The sequence below is a fragment of the Homo sapiens genome, chromosome Y (genome assembly GCF_000001405.40).
Source record: "Homo sapiens chromosome Y, GRCh38.p14 Primary Assembly".
NCBI lineage: Eukaryota > Metazoa > Chordata > Mammalia > Primates > Hominidae > Homo > Homo sapiens.
In genome coordinates, this window is record NC_000024.10 from 12,848,151 (window position 1) to 12,863,868 (window position 15,718).

At 37.9% G+C, this 15,718-nt stretch overlaps 1 protein-coding gene across 3 annotated transcripts in view; it reads left to right on the forward strand.

Annotated features, from left to right (window-relative positions):
- USP9Y (ubiquitin specific peptidase 9 Y-linked) overlaps window positions 1-12,689 on the forward strand; it is a 159,609-nt gene extending 146,920 nt beyond the window's left edge. For all 3 annotated transcript variants that reach the window (NM_004654.4, XM_047442772.1, XM_047442771.1), the window contains 4 exons: window positions 8,190-8,346; window positions 8,483-8,695; window positions 9,416-9,511; window positions 11,129-12,689. In NM_004654.4, the coding sequence (NP_004645.2) occupies window positions 8,190-8,346; window positions 8,483-8,695; window positions 9,416-9,511; window positions 11,129-11,266 (604 nt within the window). In that variant the 3' untranslated portion in view covers window positions 11,267-12,689. The remainder of the gene's footprint in view (window positions 1-8,189; window positions 8,347-8,482; window positions 8,696-9,415; window positions 9,512-11,128) is intronic.

Genomic DNA, 15,718 nt, shown 5'->3' on the forward strand with positions numbered 1-15,718 from the left:
TTTTAAGAATCACCATTCTGACTGGTGTGAGATGGTATCTCATTGTGGTTTTGATTTACATTTCTCTAATCATCAGCTTTTTTCCATGTGTCTGTTGCCTGCATAGATGTCTTCTTTTGAGAAGTGTTGTTCATATCTTTTGCCCACTTCTTGATGGGGTTATTTGTTTTTTTTTCTTGTAAATTTCTTTGAGTTCTTTGTAGATTCTGGATATTAGGCCTTTGTCAGATGGGTAGATTGCAAAAATTTTCTCCCATTCTGTAGGTTGCCTGTTCACTATGATGGTAGTTTCTTTTGCCATGTAGAAGCTCTTTACTTTACATTTGTCTATTTTGGCTTTTGTTGCCATTGCTTTTGATGTTTTAGTCGTGAAGACCTTGCCCATCCTATCTCCTGAATGGTATTGCCTAGGTTTTCTTCTAGGGTTTTCATGGTTTTAGGTCTAACATTTAAGTCTTTAATCCATCTTGAATTAATCTTTGTATAAGGTGTAAGGAAGGGATCCAGTTTCAGCTTTCTACATATGGCTAGCCAGTTTTCCCAGCACCACTTATTAAATAGGGAATCCTTCCCCCATTGCTTGTTTTTCTCAGGTTTGTCAAAGATCAGATAGTTGTAGAAGTGTGGGGTTATTTCTGAGGCCTCTATTCTGTTCCATTGGTCTATATATCTGTTTTGGTACCAGTACCATGCTGTTTTGGTTACTGTAGCCTTGTAGTATACTTTGAAGTCAAGTAACGTGATGCCTCCAGCTTTGTTCTTTTGGCTTAGGATTGTCTTGGCAATGCAGGCTCTTCTTTGGTTCCATACTAACTTTGAAGTAGTTTTTTCCAATTCTGTGAAGAAAGTTATTGGTAGCCTGATGGGGATGGCATTGAATCTATAGATAACCTTGGGCAGTATGGCCATTTACATGATATTGATTCTTCCTATCCATGAGCATGGAATGTTCTTCCATTTGTTTGTGTCCTCTTTTATTTCATTGAGCAGTGGTTTGTAGTTCTCCTTGAAGAGGTCCTTCACATCCCTTGTAAGTTGTATTCCTATGTATTTTATTGTTTGAAGTGATTGTGAATGGGAATTCATTCATGATTTGGCTCTCTGTTATTGGTGTATAGGAATGCTTGTGATTTTTGGCACATTGATTTTTTATGCTGAGACGTTGCTGAAGTTGCTTATCAGCTTGAGGTTTTGGGCTGAGACAATGGGGTTTTCTAAATATATAGTCATGTCATCTGCAAACAGGGACAATTTGACTTCCTCATTTCCTAATTGAATATCCTTTATTTCTTTCTCTTTCCTGATTGCCCTGGCCAGAACGTCCAACACTATACTGAACAGGAATGGTGAGACAGGGCATCGCTGTGTTGTACCGGTTTTCAAAGGGAATGCTTCCAGTTTTTGCCCATTCAGTATGATATTGGCTGTGGGTTTGTTATAAATAGCTCTTATTTTGAAATACATTCCATCAATACCTAGTTTATTGAGAGTTTTTAGCATGAAGGGCTACTGAATTTTGTTGAAGGCCTTTTCTGCATCTATTGAGATAATCATGTGGTTTTTTTCATTGGTTTTGTTTATGTGATGGATTATGTTTATTGATTTGCATATGTTGAACCAAGCTTGCATCCCAGGGATGAAGCCCACCTGATCATGATGGATAAGCTTTTGGATGTGCTGCTGGATTTGGTTTGCCAGTATTTTCTTGAGGATTCCTGCATCAATGTTCACCAGGGATATTGGTCTAAAATTCTCTTTTTTTATTGTGACTCTGCCAGGCTTTGGTATCAGGATGATGCTGGCCTCGTAAAATGAATTAGGGAGGATTCCCTCTTTTTTCTGCTGATTGGAATAGTTTCAGAAGTAATGGTATCAGCTCCTCTTTGTACCACTGGTAGAATTCAGCTGTGAATCCATCTAGTTCTGGACTTGTTTTGGTTGGTAGGCTATTAATTAATGCCTCAATTTCAGAGCCTGTTATTGGTCTATTCAGGGATTCAACTTCTTCCTGGTTTAGTCTTGGGAGAGTGTAGGTGTCCAGGAATTTGTCCATTGCTTCTAGATTTTCTAATTTATTTGCATAGAGGTGTTTATAGTATTCTCTGATGGTAGTTTTTATTTCTGTGGGATCAGTGGTGATATCCCTTTATCATTTTTTATTGCATCTATTTGATGTTTCTCTCTTGTCTTCTTTATTAGTCTTGCTAGTGATCTATTTATTTTGTTGATCTTTTCAAAAAACCAGCTCCTGGATTCATGACTTTTTTTTTTTTAAGGGTTTTTTGTGTCTCTATCTCTTTCAGTTCTGCTCTGATCTTAGTTATTTCTTGCCTTCTGCTAGCTTTTGAATGTGTTTTGAATGTGTTCTTGCCTTCTGCTAGCTTTTGAATGTGCTCTTGCTTCTCTAGTTCTTTTAATTGTGATGTTAGGGTGTTGATTTTAGAACTTTCCTGCTTTCTCTTGTGGGCATTTAGTGCTATAAATTTCCCTCTACACACTGCTTTAAATGTGTCCCAGAGATTCTGGTACATTGTGTCTTTGTTCTCATTGGTTTAAAAAACATCTTTATTTCTGCCTTCATTTCACTATGCAGTGGTCATTCAGGAGCAGGTTGTTCAGTTTCCATGTAGTTGTGCAGTTTTGAGTGAGTTTTCTTCATCCCGAGTTCTAATTTGATTGCTCTGTGCTCTGAGAGATGGTTTGTTGTGATTTCTGTTCTTTTACATTTGCTGAGGAGTGCTTTACTTCCAACTATGTGGTCAATTTTAGAATAAGTGTGATGTGGTGCTGAGAAGAATGTATATTCTGTTGATTTGGGGTGGAGAGTTCTGTAGATGTCTACTAGGTCTGCTTGTTGCAGAACTGATTTCACGTCCTGGATATCTTTGTTAACCTGTCTCAATCTTTCTAATATTGACAGTGGAGAGTTAAAGTCTCCACTGTCACACAAAATAATAATTTTGTCTCCCATTATTATTGTGTGGGAGTCTAAGTCTCTTTGTAGGTCTCTAAGGACTTGCTTTACAAATCTTGGTGCTCCTGTATTGGGTGCATATATATTTAGGATAGTTAGCTCTTCTTGTTGAATTGATCCCTTTACCATTATGTAGTGGCCTTCTTTGTTGGTTTAAACTCTTTTGATCTTTGTTGGTTTAAAGTCTGTTTTATCTGAGACGAGGATTGCAACCCCTGCTTTTCTTTTGCTTTCCATTTGCTTGGCAGATCTTCCTCCATCCCTTTATTTTGAACCTGTGTGTGTCTTTGCACATGAGATGGGTCTCCTGAATGCAGCACACCGATGGGTCTTGACTCTTTATCCAATTTGCTGGTCTGTGTCTTTTATTTGGGGCATTTAGCCCATTTACATTTAAGGTTAATATTGTTATGTGTGGATTTGATCCTGTCATTATGATGTTAGCTGGTTATTTTGCCAGTTAACTGATGCAGTTTCTTCACAGCCTTGATGATCTTTACAATTTGGCATGTTTTTGCAGTGGCTGATACCGCTTGTTCCTTTCCATGTTTAGTGCTTCCTTCAGGAGCTCTTGTAAGGCAGGCCTGGTGGTGACAAAATCTCTCAGCCTTTGCTTGTCTGTAAAGGATTTTATTTCTCCTTCACTTATGAAGCTTAGTTTGTCTGGATATGAAATTCTGGGTTGAAAATTCTTTTCTTTAAGAACATTGAATACTGGCCCCACTCTCTTCTGGCTTGTAGGGTTTCTGCTGAGAAAGCCATTGTTGTTAGTCTGATGGGCTTCCCTTTGTGGTTAACTCGACCTTTCTCTCTGGCTTCCCTTAACATTTTTTCCTTCATTTTACCCTTGGTGAATCTGACAATTATGTTCTTGGGGTTGCTGTTCTTGAGGAGTATCTTTGTGGTGTTCTCTGTATTTCCTGAATTTGAATGTTGGCTGGACTTGCTCGGTTGGCAAAGTTCTCCTGGATAATATCCTGTAGAGTGTTTTACAACTTGGTTCCATTCTCCCCATCACTTTCAGGTACACCAATCAAACGTAGATTTGGTCTTTTCACATAGTCCCATATTTCTTGGAGGCATTGTTTGTTTCTTTTTACTCTTTTTTCTCTAAACTTTTCTTCTTGTTTTATTTCTTTCATTTGATCTTCAGTCACGGATACTCTTTCTTCCACTTGATCCAAGTGGCTATTCAAGCTTGTGCACGTGTCCCAAAGTTCTCGTGCCATGGTTTTCAGCTTCATTAGTTCATTTAAGGTTTTCACTGTTTATTCTAGTTAGCCATTCGTCTAACCTTTTTTCAAGGTTTTTAGCTTCCTTGCGATGGTTTCGAACATGCTCCCTTAGCTCGGAGTAGTTTGTTATTACCAACCTTCTGAAGCCTACCTCTGTCAACTCATCAAAGTCATTCTCTGTCCAACTTTGTTCCGTTGCTGGCGAGGAGTTGCAATCCTTTGGAGGAGAAGAGGCGCTCTGATTTTTAGAGTGTTCAGCTTTTCTGCTCTGGTTACTCCCCATCTTTGTGGTTTTATCTACCTTTGGTCTCTGATGTTAGTGACCTACAGATGGGGTGTTGGTGTTGGATGTCCTTTTTGTTGATGTTGATGCTATTCCTTTCTGTTATTATTTTCCTTCTAACAGTCAGGTCCCTCAGCTGCAGGTCAGTTGGACTTTGCTGGAGGTCCCTCCAGACGCTGTTTGCCTGGGTATCGCCAGTGGAAGCTGCAGAATTGCAAATATTGCAGAACAGCAAATATTGCTGCCTGATCCTTCCTCTGGAAGCTTCATCCCAGAGGGGCACCCGCCTATATGAGGTGTCTGTTGGCCCCTACTAGGAGGTGTCTCCCAGTTAGGCTACCTGGCGGTCAGGGACCCACTTGAGGAGGCAAACTGTCCATTCTCAGAGCTCAAACACTGTGTTGGTAGAACCACAGCTCTCTTCAGAGCTGTCAGACAGGGATGTTTAAGTCTGCAGAAGTTATCTGCTGCCTTGTGTTCAGCTAAGCCCTGCCCGCAGAGGTGGAGTCTAGAGGCAGCAGACCTTGCTGAGCTGCGGTGGGCGGAAGCAGTTCAGGCTTCCCAGCTGCTTTGTTTACCTACTCAAGCCTCAGCAATGGTGGATGCCCATTCCCCAGCCAGGCTGCTGCCTTGCAGTTCGATCTCAGACTGCTGCACTAGCAGTGAGCAAGGCTCTGTGGATGTGGGACCCACCGAGCCAGGCATGGGAGAGAATCTCCTTGTCTGCTGGTTGCTAAGACCTTGAGAAGAGCGCAGTATTTGGGCGGAAGTATCCCTTTTTTCCAGGTACAGTCTGTCACAGCTTCCCTTGGCTAAGAAAGGGAAATCCCTGGACACCTTGAGCTTCCCAGGTGAGGTGACGCCCTGCCCTTCTTCGGATCACCCTCCGTGGGCTGCACCCACTCTCCAACCAGTCCCAGTGAGATGAACCAGGTACTTAAGTTGGAAATGTAGAAATCACCCATCTTCTGCATCAATCACAGTGGGAGCTGCAGACCAGAGCTGTTCCTATTTCTCCATCACATTCTTTTCTCTTAATGTTCCACTTTCATCCTTAATATTAGGTTTTGTCTTCCATTTACTGTTTTTATTTTTTTAAGGAACCCAGTAAGGCTTTTGATACCTCCTTAAGTTCTGTTAATATTTTAGGATTATGATGTACTTTTTCTAGAATTAGTTACAATAGGTAACACTTAATCCATCGCCTCTAAGTAGTTGTATTAGTATATAAGAAATCGGAGTGGTAATTTTTCAGAACTGAGATTATGCTACTAACAGGTCTATAAACATACCCCTAGAATTCTCAATTGTGTTCTCTTCAGTAAAATCAGTCTAAGAATTATACTGTAGAATTAGTTGCCTAATTCTGCCTGAAAATTCTAACTTTTCTCCTCGTGAGAATTTTAATATAGCTTGTTTTAGGAACACACACAAACATACACACACACAGAAACACACCTATTAGACATAATAATAAGCAAAAGAACCCGAAAACAAATGTATTATAAAGCTGCAGAACACAGTGCTTAAAGGTAAATCATTGTAATCTTGAATTTTAGAGAACCGAAAATATTAGATTTCAACAATTAAAATTCTCAAGTTGTGATTCAGTCCAGCATCAAGCAGATCAAATAATGTAAAAGTGGCATTAGATGGGTAATGTTTTATATTAGATCTCATTTGTTTTAATGGGTTCCAATTTTTATTTAAAATTTTTACTGTGTTTGAAAGAATTTTTAGACAAATATTGTTTGCTATGTGATTTTATTTTATTTTTTTGAGACTCCTTCTTGCTTTGTCATCTGGCTGGAGTGCAGTGGCACAATCTCAGCTCACTGCAACCTCCGTCTCCCGGATTCAAGTGATTCTCCTGCCTCAGCCTCCCTAGTAGCTGGGACTACAGGTGCATGCCACCACGCCCAGCTAATTTTTTTGTATTTTAGTAGAGACGGGGTTTCACCATGTTGGCCAGGGTGGTGTTGATCTCCTGACCTCGTGATCCACCTGCCTGGGCATCCCATAGTGTTGGAATTACATGCATGAGCCACTGCACCCAGCCAGCTATGTACATCTTGTAGTTACTATAAGGCTAAATCACATTTTTAGCCTTCTTATCTTATCCAAGGAAGTGATTTTAGTAAAGGTACACATGTTGGATTAATGTGGAAAATAGTAGACTTTTGTACAAAATTAATATTGTCCTTACAAACATAAGCTTGAAGTGTTTTGTATAATGAACATTGAGTTTATTCAGTAAACAGTATTCAACAGATATATATATCAACATCTGCTGTGTGCCAAGCAGTGTTATTATCACTTCATTATAAACTGTAAGAGAATAAGAAAATGGAATATGATACATCACAAGTGTTGCAGGAAGCATATCCATGTTATTTTTTGTCTGAAATGATTAGATTTCAAAAGTTGCCCTTTCCAAACAAAAGTTGTATTATAAATGTCTCTGAAGCTAACAAAAAAAACCTAACATCTGACCTGGAATATAAAAATACTTTGTTAAGTAAGATACATGGTATAGAGAAAAGAAATTTCAAGTTATTTTTCTGTGTAGGTAATGACACAAAAGAAAGAAAGCATATATTTGTTTGTAACTTTTTTTTGAGACAGAGTTTTGCTCTTGTTGCCCAGGCTGGATTGCAGTGGGGTGATCTCCGCTCACTGCAACCTCAGCCTCCCAAGTAGCTGGGATTACGCACATGCACCACCATGCCTGGCTAATTTTTGCATTTTTAGTAGAGACAGGGTTTCACCATGTTGGTCAGGCTGGTCTCAAGCTCCTGACTTCAGGTGATCCACCCAGCTTTGCCTCCCAAAGTGCTGGTATTACAGGTGTGAGCCACCGCGCCCAGCCTTCGTTTGCAATTTTTTAAATTGACTATTAAGGAGAAACAGGGAAGAGTTGGCTATGTAAATATGTTGCAGTTAGGCAGTCCTGAAATAAAATAATTGATCATTAGCAAATCAGGCAGATTTTATCATTGTCAGTGAAAATTGCTTTATGCGTCATGTATGTGTTTTCACAGTATCAGAATTCAAGTTAATTTTATACTGCCAATTTATATCATTGTTCCATAATCAGTAAGTTTTTTTCAACTAAAGAAGTCTTAAAAGACTAATAGCTTTAGTAAAGTAATGTGGTGAACTGGACATGGTGGTGTGTTTCTGTAATCCCAACTACTTGGGAGGCTGAAGTGAAAGTATTCCTTGTATTCTGGTTTTGAGGCTACAGTGAGCCACAAACTACAATCATGCCACTGCAGTCCAGCCTGGGACACAGAGCAAGAATTCTATCTCTTAAAAAAAAAAGAAAGAAAGAAAGGAAAAGAAATATGAAAAATTATGTGGCATCATTGTCCTTAATTTGCTCTTAGTAATTTTTGTGAGCAGCTGGTTAGCAATCTAAGTGAGATTCCTATGTCTGACTAAGTCAGATTGCTAACCAGCTGCTCAAGTTGCCAGATCTGTAATATTTGGCAAGCTATTTGTGCTGTCTGTACTTGTTTTCTCATTTGTTAAAATGTTCCTAATTTTAATTTGTTCCTACCTACTTAGGAAAGTAACTCTAATGTTAATTAGATTATATGATTACATCAAAAAAGTACTAAATGGCACATAATTAGGAACTCAAATGTTAGCTACTATTGGATATTACAAAGTTTTACATCTGCTTCTGTTTTAGAATTCATAATGCACTTAAAGGAATTCCAGATGACAGAGATGGGCTGTTCGATACAATACAGCGCTCGAAGAATCACTATCAAAAACGAGCATATCAGTGCATAAAATGTATGGTAGCTCTATTTAGCAGTTGTCCTGTTGCTTACCAGATCTTACAGGTGAGGGTTTTTCTCTTATAAATTTGTAGAAACCTCTGTCACAAGTAAGGAAATGATCGTGAAATTTTTGTATTAGCATTTTAAGCTGATACTGAAAATCATTCTAAATTCTAAATAGTTTTATTTTTTTCTAAAGGGTAACGGAGATCTTAAAAGAAAATGGACCTGGGCAGTGGAATGGCTAGGAGATGAACTTGAAAGAAGACCATATACTGGCAATCCTCAGTATAGTTACAACAATTGGTCTCCTCCAGTACAAAGCAATGAAACAGCAAATGGTTATTTCTTAGAAAGATCACATAGTGCTAGGATGACACTTGCAAAAGCTTGTGAACTCTGTCCAGAAGAGGTAAAAAAAAAAAAGGCTACCAATGGACAGCAGATGGAAATGGGAAAAAGAAAAGTATTTTTTTAATGTGTAGGCCCATGTTTATTAATATTGTGCTTAAAAAAATCATGTGCAGTTTTGTTTGCTTTAGTGGTTAGCTTGATTTGTTTGATCTTAAGTTAACAAAGGAGTTTCCTTTTGGAAAAAATTTCTGTGAAATTGTCTAAAAATCACATACCTGAGAGAATTCAGATATTCTTTTGTTTGTTTTTTGTCTTTGTTTGCTTTTGCTTTTTCTTTTTTTTTTTGAGTCTCACCCTATTGCCCAGGCTGCTGCAGCAGCGTGATCTCGGCTCACTGCAACCCCCACCTCTCAGGTTCAAGAAATTCTTCTGCCTCAGCCTCCCGAGTAGCTGGGATTACAGGCAGCCACCACCATGCCTGGCTAATTTTTGTATTTTTAATAGAGACAGGATTTCACCATGTTGGCCAGGCTGGTCTCAAATCTTGACCTTAAGTGATCCACCTGCCTGGCCTCCCAAAGTGCTGAGATTATAAGCATGAGCCACTGCACCCGGCCTGTTTTCTTATATTTTAAATTATTTGCAGTAAATGCAAAGATGTTAAAGAGGCCAGCTTTGTGCATTTTTTAAAAGTTTATTCTAAATGAAGGAAATTAAATATAAATTTGAAGTTACTTTTATAATCTAATGCTTAATCTCTTTAAATATTTAAAATTAGGAGCCAGATGACCAGGATGCCCCAGATGAGCATGAGCCCTCTCCATCAGAAGATGCCCCATTATATCCTCATTCACCTGCCTCTCAGTATCAACAGGTAAAAAGGATTTTTCATTTTTATCCCCCAAACCCATTTTGATGCTTTACTTAAAAGGTCTTCAATTATTATTTTCTTAAATATTTTGAAAGTCCAAACTTTCTCTGTACCTGGCTGATATTTAAAACTGGATAAACTGTTCCAAACCAACATGGAGTGAAGATGGATCCACTGTGACTGTAAAGTAATAAATTATCTAGAACAGCTTTGACAAGATGATCAGTAGAGTGTTAGTTGAAATGACGTCATGTTTTATTTTGCCATTGTGATATGTTCTTTGTAACCAGGTACTACCCCCTTTTGCTATTTGCTATGGTTAATAAAATTGTGTGATATTTCAGTAATTGTTGAAGAAATGTGAAAGCAAAAGTATCTGAGATTCAGTGGCAGTAAAAATTCAGTTTGACTGGCTTTAATAGATGGTTAACTGAAAAAATATAACTTCGGAAAAATATAAATAAACTTTCTGATAAGTTCTTTTGCAAAACAGGTATATTTGGGAAAAGATTCTGGGAAGATTAGCCGCAAATGTGGCTAATGCAGTCATTTTAAGGCCATGGTTCTTAAATTTAATGTACATCATAATCATGTAAATGCACTGATTGAGAACAGCAATTGCAGGGTCCAGAAATTGTCACTCTACAGGGCTATCGTGGGGCTCAAGAATTGGCCTTTTTTTTTTCTTTTTTTGAGAGAGTCTCACCCTGTCACCAGTCTAGAGTGCAGTGGTGCAATCACAGCTCACTGTAACCTCCGCCTCTGGGGTTCAGGCAATTCTGCCTCAGCCTCCCGAGTAGCTGGACTATAGGAACGCACCATCACGCCCAGCTAATTTTTGTATTTTTAGTAGAGGTGGAGTTTCACCATGTTGGCCAGGATGGACTCAATCTCTTGACCTTGTGATCTGCCCGCCTTGGCCCCCCAAAATGCTGGGATTATAGGCGTGAGCCACTGCACCTGGCCAACAATTGTCACTTCTTATAAATTTCCAAGTGTTGCTGCTCTGGGGAAAACACATGGAAAACCTTTCTGCTTAGCACAATAATTGGCCATCCAAGACTTTTTTATTTTAGACCTAGTCTGACTCTGTTGCCCAAGCTGGAGTGCAGTGGCCTGATCTCGGCTCACTGCAACCTCCACCTCCCAAGTTCAAGCCATTCTCCTGCCTCAGCCTCCCAAGTAGCTAGGACTACAGGCTTGCATCACTTTGCCCAGCTAAGTTTTTCATTTTTAGTAGAGACAGGGTTTCACTGTGTTGGCCAGGCTAGTCTTGAACTCCTGAACTTGTGATCCGCCCACCTTGGCCTCCCAAAATGCTGGGATTACAGGTATGAGTCACTGCACCTGGCCAAGACTCTTGGGTACATTCTCTAGGGAGGTGAAATGAATTTTTATCAGAAGCTGACACATTTATGTGTGTGCACTTTCTCAAAACACTTTATTCATATGGTACTTCTTCTCTTCAAATATAAAAATCAGATTGTAAGTTCTTTTTTTTTTTTTAAAGATCCAGGTTTAAAAATGTCTACTTTTTGACCAACCTTACCCCATGGTTTTAAATTTTTAATTGTTAATATTTGAAAAGTGTTACAATGCTGGTCTCTTTCACCCTCTTAGAATAATCATGTACATGGACAGCCATATACAGGACCAGCAGCACATCACTTGAACAACCCTCAGAAAACAGGCCAACGAACACAAGAAAATTATGAAGGCAATGAAGAAGTATCCTCACCTCAGATGAAGGATCAGTGAAAAGCAATAATTAACTGCTTCCTTTATGACTATGCACTAAGGTCTTATAGTCCAAACTTTCTCTGTGTCTGGCTAGTATTGAAAACTAGATAAACTGCTCCAAACCAACATGGAGTAAAGAGCATATTCACTGGTTTATTTGCAGTAATTTGCAATTTGTCAGTGTATAAGACACATGCAGGGTGAAGTGTACAGAGTTTTGTAACAAATGACTGGTCCTAATCTGTAAATGAGAAAGGTATATATACTATGTTAATGTCTGACTGTTAATTCTTAAGCAAGAAACTTTTTTTGATGAAAACAAGTCAGATCTACACAGTCACACAATTATTTTTTGTTGTGTTCACTACATTGTGCAATTGATATTGCCTGCTTTGAGCAGTTTGGTCAACTTACCAACTTCCCCCCAAAAAAGGGAACATAAAAGAGCCCATCTTTGTCAGTTTACACCAATAGTTTCTTGTTAATCCTTCTTTCCTGGATATATAAGGCTGGTGGTAACTTTTGAATTATATGGTTGATGTGGAAAATTGGCAGTGTAACATTTCTAGATACTTTTCATTACCTTTTTATTCTGGTATATAGGCTAACCACTTTAAAGCTATTCTTATGCTGTAACAGTTAGCATGGCTTCACACTGTTTGTGTAGCCAAGAGGACAGAATTACATGAATGACAGTGCCCAGAGTGACAGCTGTATATTGCTCAGAGCTTTTATTTCTTATACCTAGAATAAATATAAAATGGGGGAAAAATGTGACAGACAAGCAGTTTTTCATTGCACACATATTCTTCACATTTAATGTTTGATAGTTCAATTTCTTGAGCTGAAGAATATCAAAGTATCGATAATACGAATTTTAAAATATTAAAACCAATACACAAAATTTTCCTATGTCAGAATGTGGTGGAGCATAATAGATTGTATTTGGTGTGCTTGCGATTTTTTTTTTCCATAGAATTTATTAAGTGAAGTTTCTAAAACTTTGCTTCTCCTGATCCCGGTGAAGTGTACATCATAAGAATCCATAGTACTTTGAAGTACCATTGCACCAAGATGTCTGACTGAATTCATAGTCACACTTTTATTTGAAAGAAAGAATTGTTGTAGTTTTTTTTCATTATTCTAAAACTCTTGTTGTTAGATACAAGATTTAATTAAGATCTAAGCTCCTGCTTATTTAATGTAATTCTAAGGTACCATTTTAGAAAAAACATTTGTTTTAAGATTCCAAGAAACCTGTGAGTTAATACTATATTTAAAAGAGAATTGGTAAATTTTGAATGTGTGTAATATTTTGGAACCTGTTTAAAAACCAAATATACCTGCAAATAGATACAGCCTATCCTATACTATTTAAATGTTTGGCTGTTTTGTTTTATAGAAATTATTTTGCTGAATTCACAAATAAAATTTAAGAAGACTTTTGTCCTGTGGTGTGTTTTTGTTTCTTGTTACTCTCTTGTAGTATTCTTAAGGACTACGCATTTAAATTAATTATTTGCATGGCATGCGTTGGCATGACACTGAATTCAGCATTTCAGACACATTGAGTTTTTATGCATAAAAAAATTGGCCCTTGGCCTTTCATTAAGGACCTAAAAAAAGAAAAAAAAATTAAGATATTGGCCTTGTAAAAAAATTTTCTAGCTTAATCATTTTTGTGCTTTTGGCACATTTTTACATAGTTGATTCTTGTTATTCACAGTTATAAAGTCACCATGAATACCAAATTAGCAAATGTTGAACTATTTTATACAATCAATATTTAAAATGCTTATACTCTCCCAAACTACCACTCTGTAACCTGTGTAATATGTTCATTTGATGTAATATCTCTTTGCCCATTGTTGGACACAGTAGACCCTGGAATGTGTTGCTTAGTATGAAGAAATGCAATTCATTTGTCCAAATTGGTTATAATATCTTTTTTTATATATAGCATTTTAAGCGTTATCACTGACCTCTGCGAATACAGTCGTCAGGATCCATTAATGCCCTGGCAGGGCTACTGCCATTGGTCCATTGTAATCCAGCTATGTTAAGGGCCTTCCTATTCAGGCCATAGTTATTTGCAGTCTGTGTCTCTCTTCTCACCTGGAAATGTATCTTGGGATTTTGTTCCTCACAGAGTACAAGAGGAATATGTCTAGATTCACCCCATCTGCATTACTGCTGCATCTCTGTAAGGTGACCACCTCAAGCAAATCCACCAGGATATCAACTTGCTGGTTCTAGTCACCTCCCCATCGTCCTGGAGAGGGTCCTTCGGGTGGATGTCAACATACCCTTCTTTAACATACCCCTTAAATTCCACCTTGTACTTTCCAAAGGGCTGTGTCACATACTGGCATATGCTTAATAGTTCAGTTTTCCATTGTCCCTGTGGCCAAGCCGTCAGTCACTACTCATGAATTGGCAAGAATTCAAACAAATGCAGTGTTTAAAAAAAAATTGTAAATTTTTTAATACTCATAAGAAAACAACATGCAGTTCAACCATTCAACTAATTTGTTTATTCTATCTTCAATCGGTCTTTTCATTTCTAGTCTCTATGAAAGCCTGCCAACAGGACATTGTTCACCCACCTTGAAACTGCCATCTGTAAACCAAGCAGGTCTTTCTTCGTCAGTAGGGAGCTATTCAAAGGGTATTGCCCATGCAAAAGTAGCATGCAGTAGTTCCTGAAGTGGTTCCAAACTTGATCATAGGAAAAAAGAGACTACCTGCTCTTTAACATGATTAGCACCTCCTTGCACTTTCCTGGTAACATGTCCGTCTATAAATCCATTTTGCATGTTATTTTGGACCTCTTCTGAGCACTTCCTCATTAGAATGTTTTCTTAATTCACGCAACACATTATAGGTGTTTCAGATTTTAAGATTATGGTCTTCAGTCTCAGAAGCAGGCAAGACAAGCTAGTAATTAGCTTGTCAAGGCGAACTACACCAATGCAAGGCAAGCTATTAAGTATCTCTCAAATGGCACATATTATATCATGGCATCCAGGAATTTCCTGGTCCAAAATTCCCAGCTATTGCTGCAGAGTGGCATGTGCAGTTGTTTGTTTGTTTAACCATAGTTTCAGTCTGCCTAATAACCTGCAAGCACTTCCAAAATCAGATTGTGGATCATAACGCCCCAAAATATTGAGAGAGAGCACTTTTTGAAATTCAGACATGGCCTGCCTTAGTGCAATTTCTTAATTAAAGAAACCCCACTCTCTTTTTTTAAGTTGATGCATTATAATTGTACATATTTATGAGGTTCAAATGATATTTTGATACATGTAGACAATAATGACCAAATCACTAATTGGTATATTGGTGTATTGGTAATTGGTATGTTAGTCACTTCATACATGTATCATTTATTTGTGTTGAGCACATTCCAAATCTAATCTTGCAGTTATGTGGAAATATAATTATTCATACCTATAGTCTCCCTCCTATACTATCAAACGTTAGGACCTATTCCTTCTAATGCTATTTGTACCCATTAACTAACTCATCTCTTCCCCTGCCTAGTGTTCTTCCCAGCCTGTGGTAATCTTTCTACTCTCTACCTTCATGAGATCAACTTTTTATTTCCCATCTATGAATGAAAACATTCCTGGATTTTTTCAATTAATGTCCCTTCAATGAAACTTCTTTTGGGTAGTGTTCTGGAAAGGAGCTAGAAATATTTTCGGATGTGTAATAGGAATCCCCAAAATCCTATTCAACCAAATGCTGGGCTTCCTGTTTGCTTAGGAGTACGTAATGACAGAAATTCATTCTAGGTCACCTATGAAGTGTCACAGTGTCTCTTTCCAGGTGTTTCTAAGAATTTCACCATTTGGGTGCATCTCTGGATTTATGATCTCTCCTTGTTGGTCATGTGAATCAACATATATAAGTCTGTGTTAGATTGCTCTTCAGTTTCAGTTTTAACATGTCATCTTCAGTATGTTGTAGTAGTACATTGAAGAACTGCATCAAGCCCAAATCTCTCATAACCAAGTTATGATAGTAATCTTATGGCAAAATATTAATAGTTAATGTCATTTGGGATCTTTTCCACATGCAGTTGACTCTTGTAAGATTGAGACAAAGAAAAACATTTGCAAGATGAATGCATATCACTATCCTATAGTCTCTTTGTTGTACTGTGGAAAGGAATGTCGACACTATTGATGGTATATGCAGCACTACGTTATTCTAGATTTGTTTCCATGAACCAACTCTTTTTCTCCTAGGTCACAAAAAGCTTACTCTAGATAATTTGTCAGTACTAGTCCTTTCGTTTCTAATTAAATTAGTTAAAGTGTTTTTTGTTTGGGGTTTTATTGTTGTTGTCCACAAAGTATCCTACGCTGTTTCAACAATTTTTATGAGCATAGGTAGTTCTAGTTGTTCCTATTTTAATGTATTCAATCAAGTCTGGACTGAGGGCAAATTTCATGCCTTCTA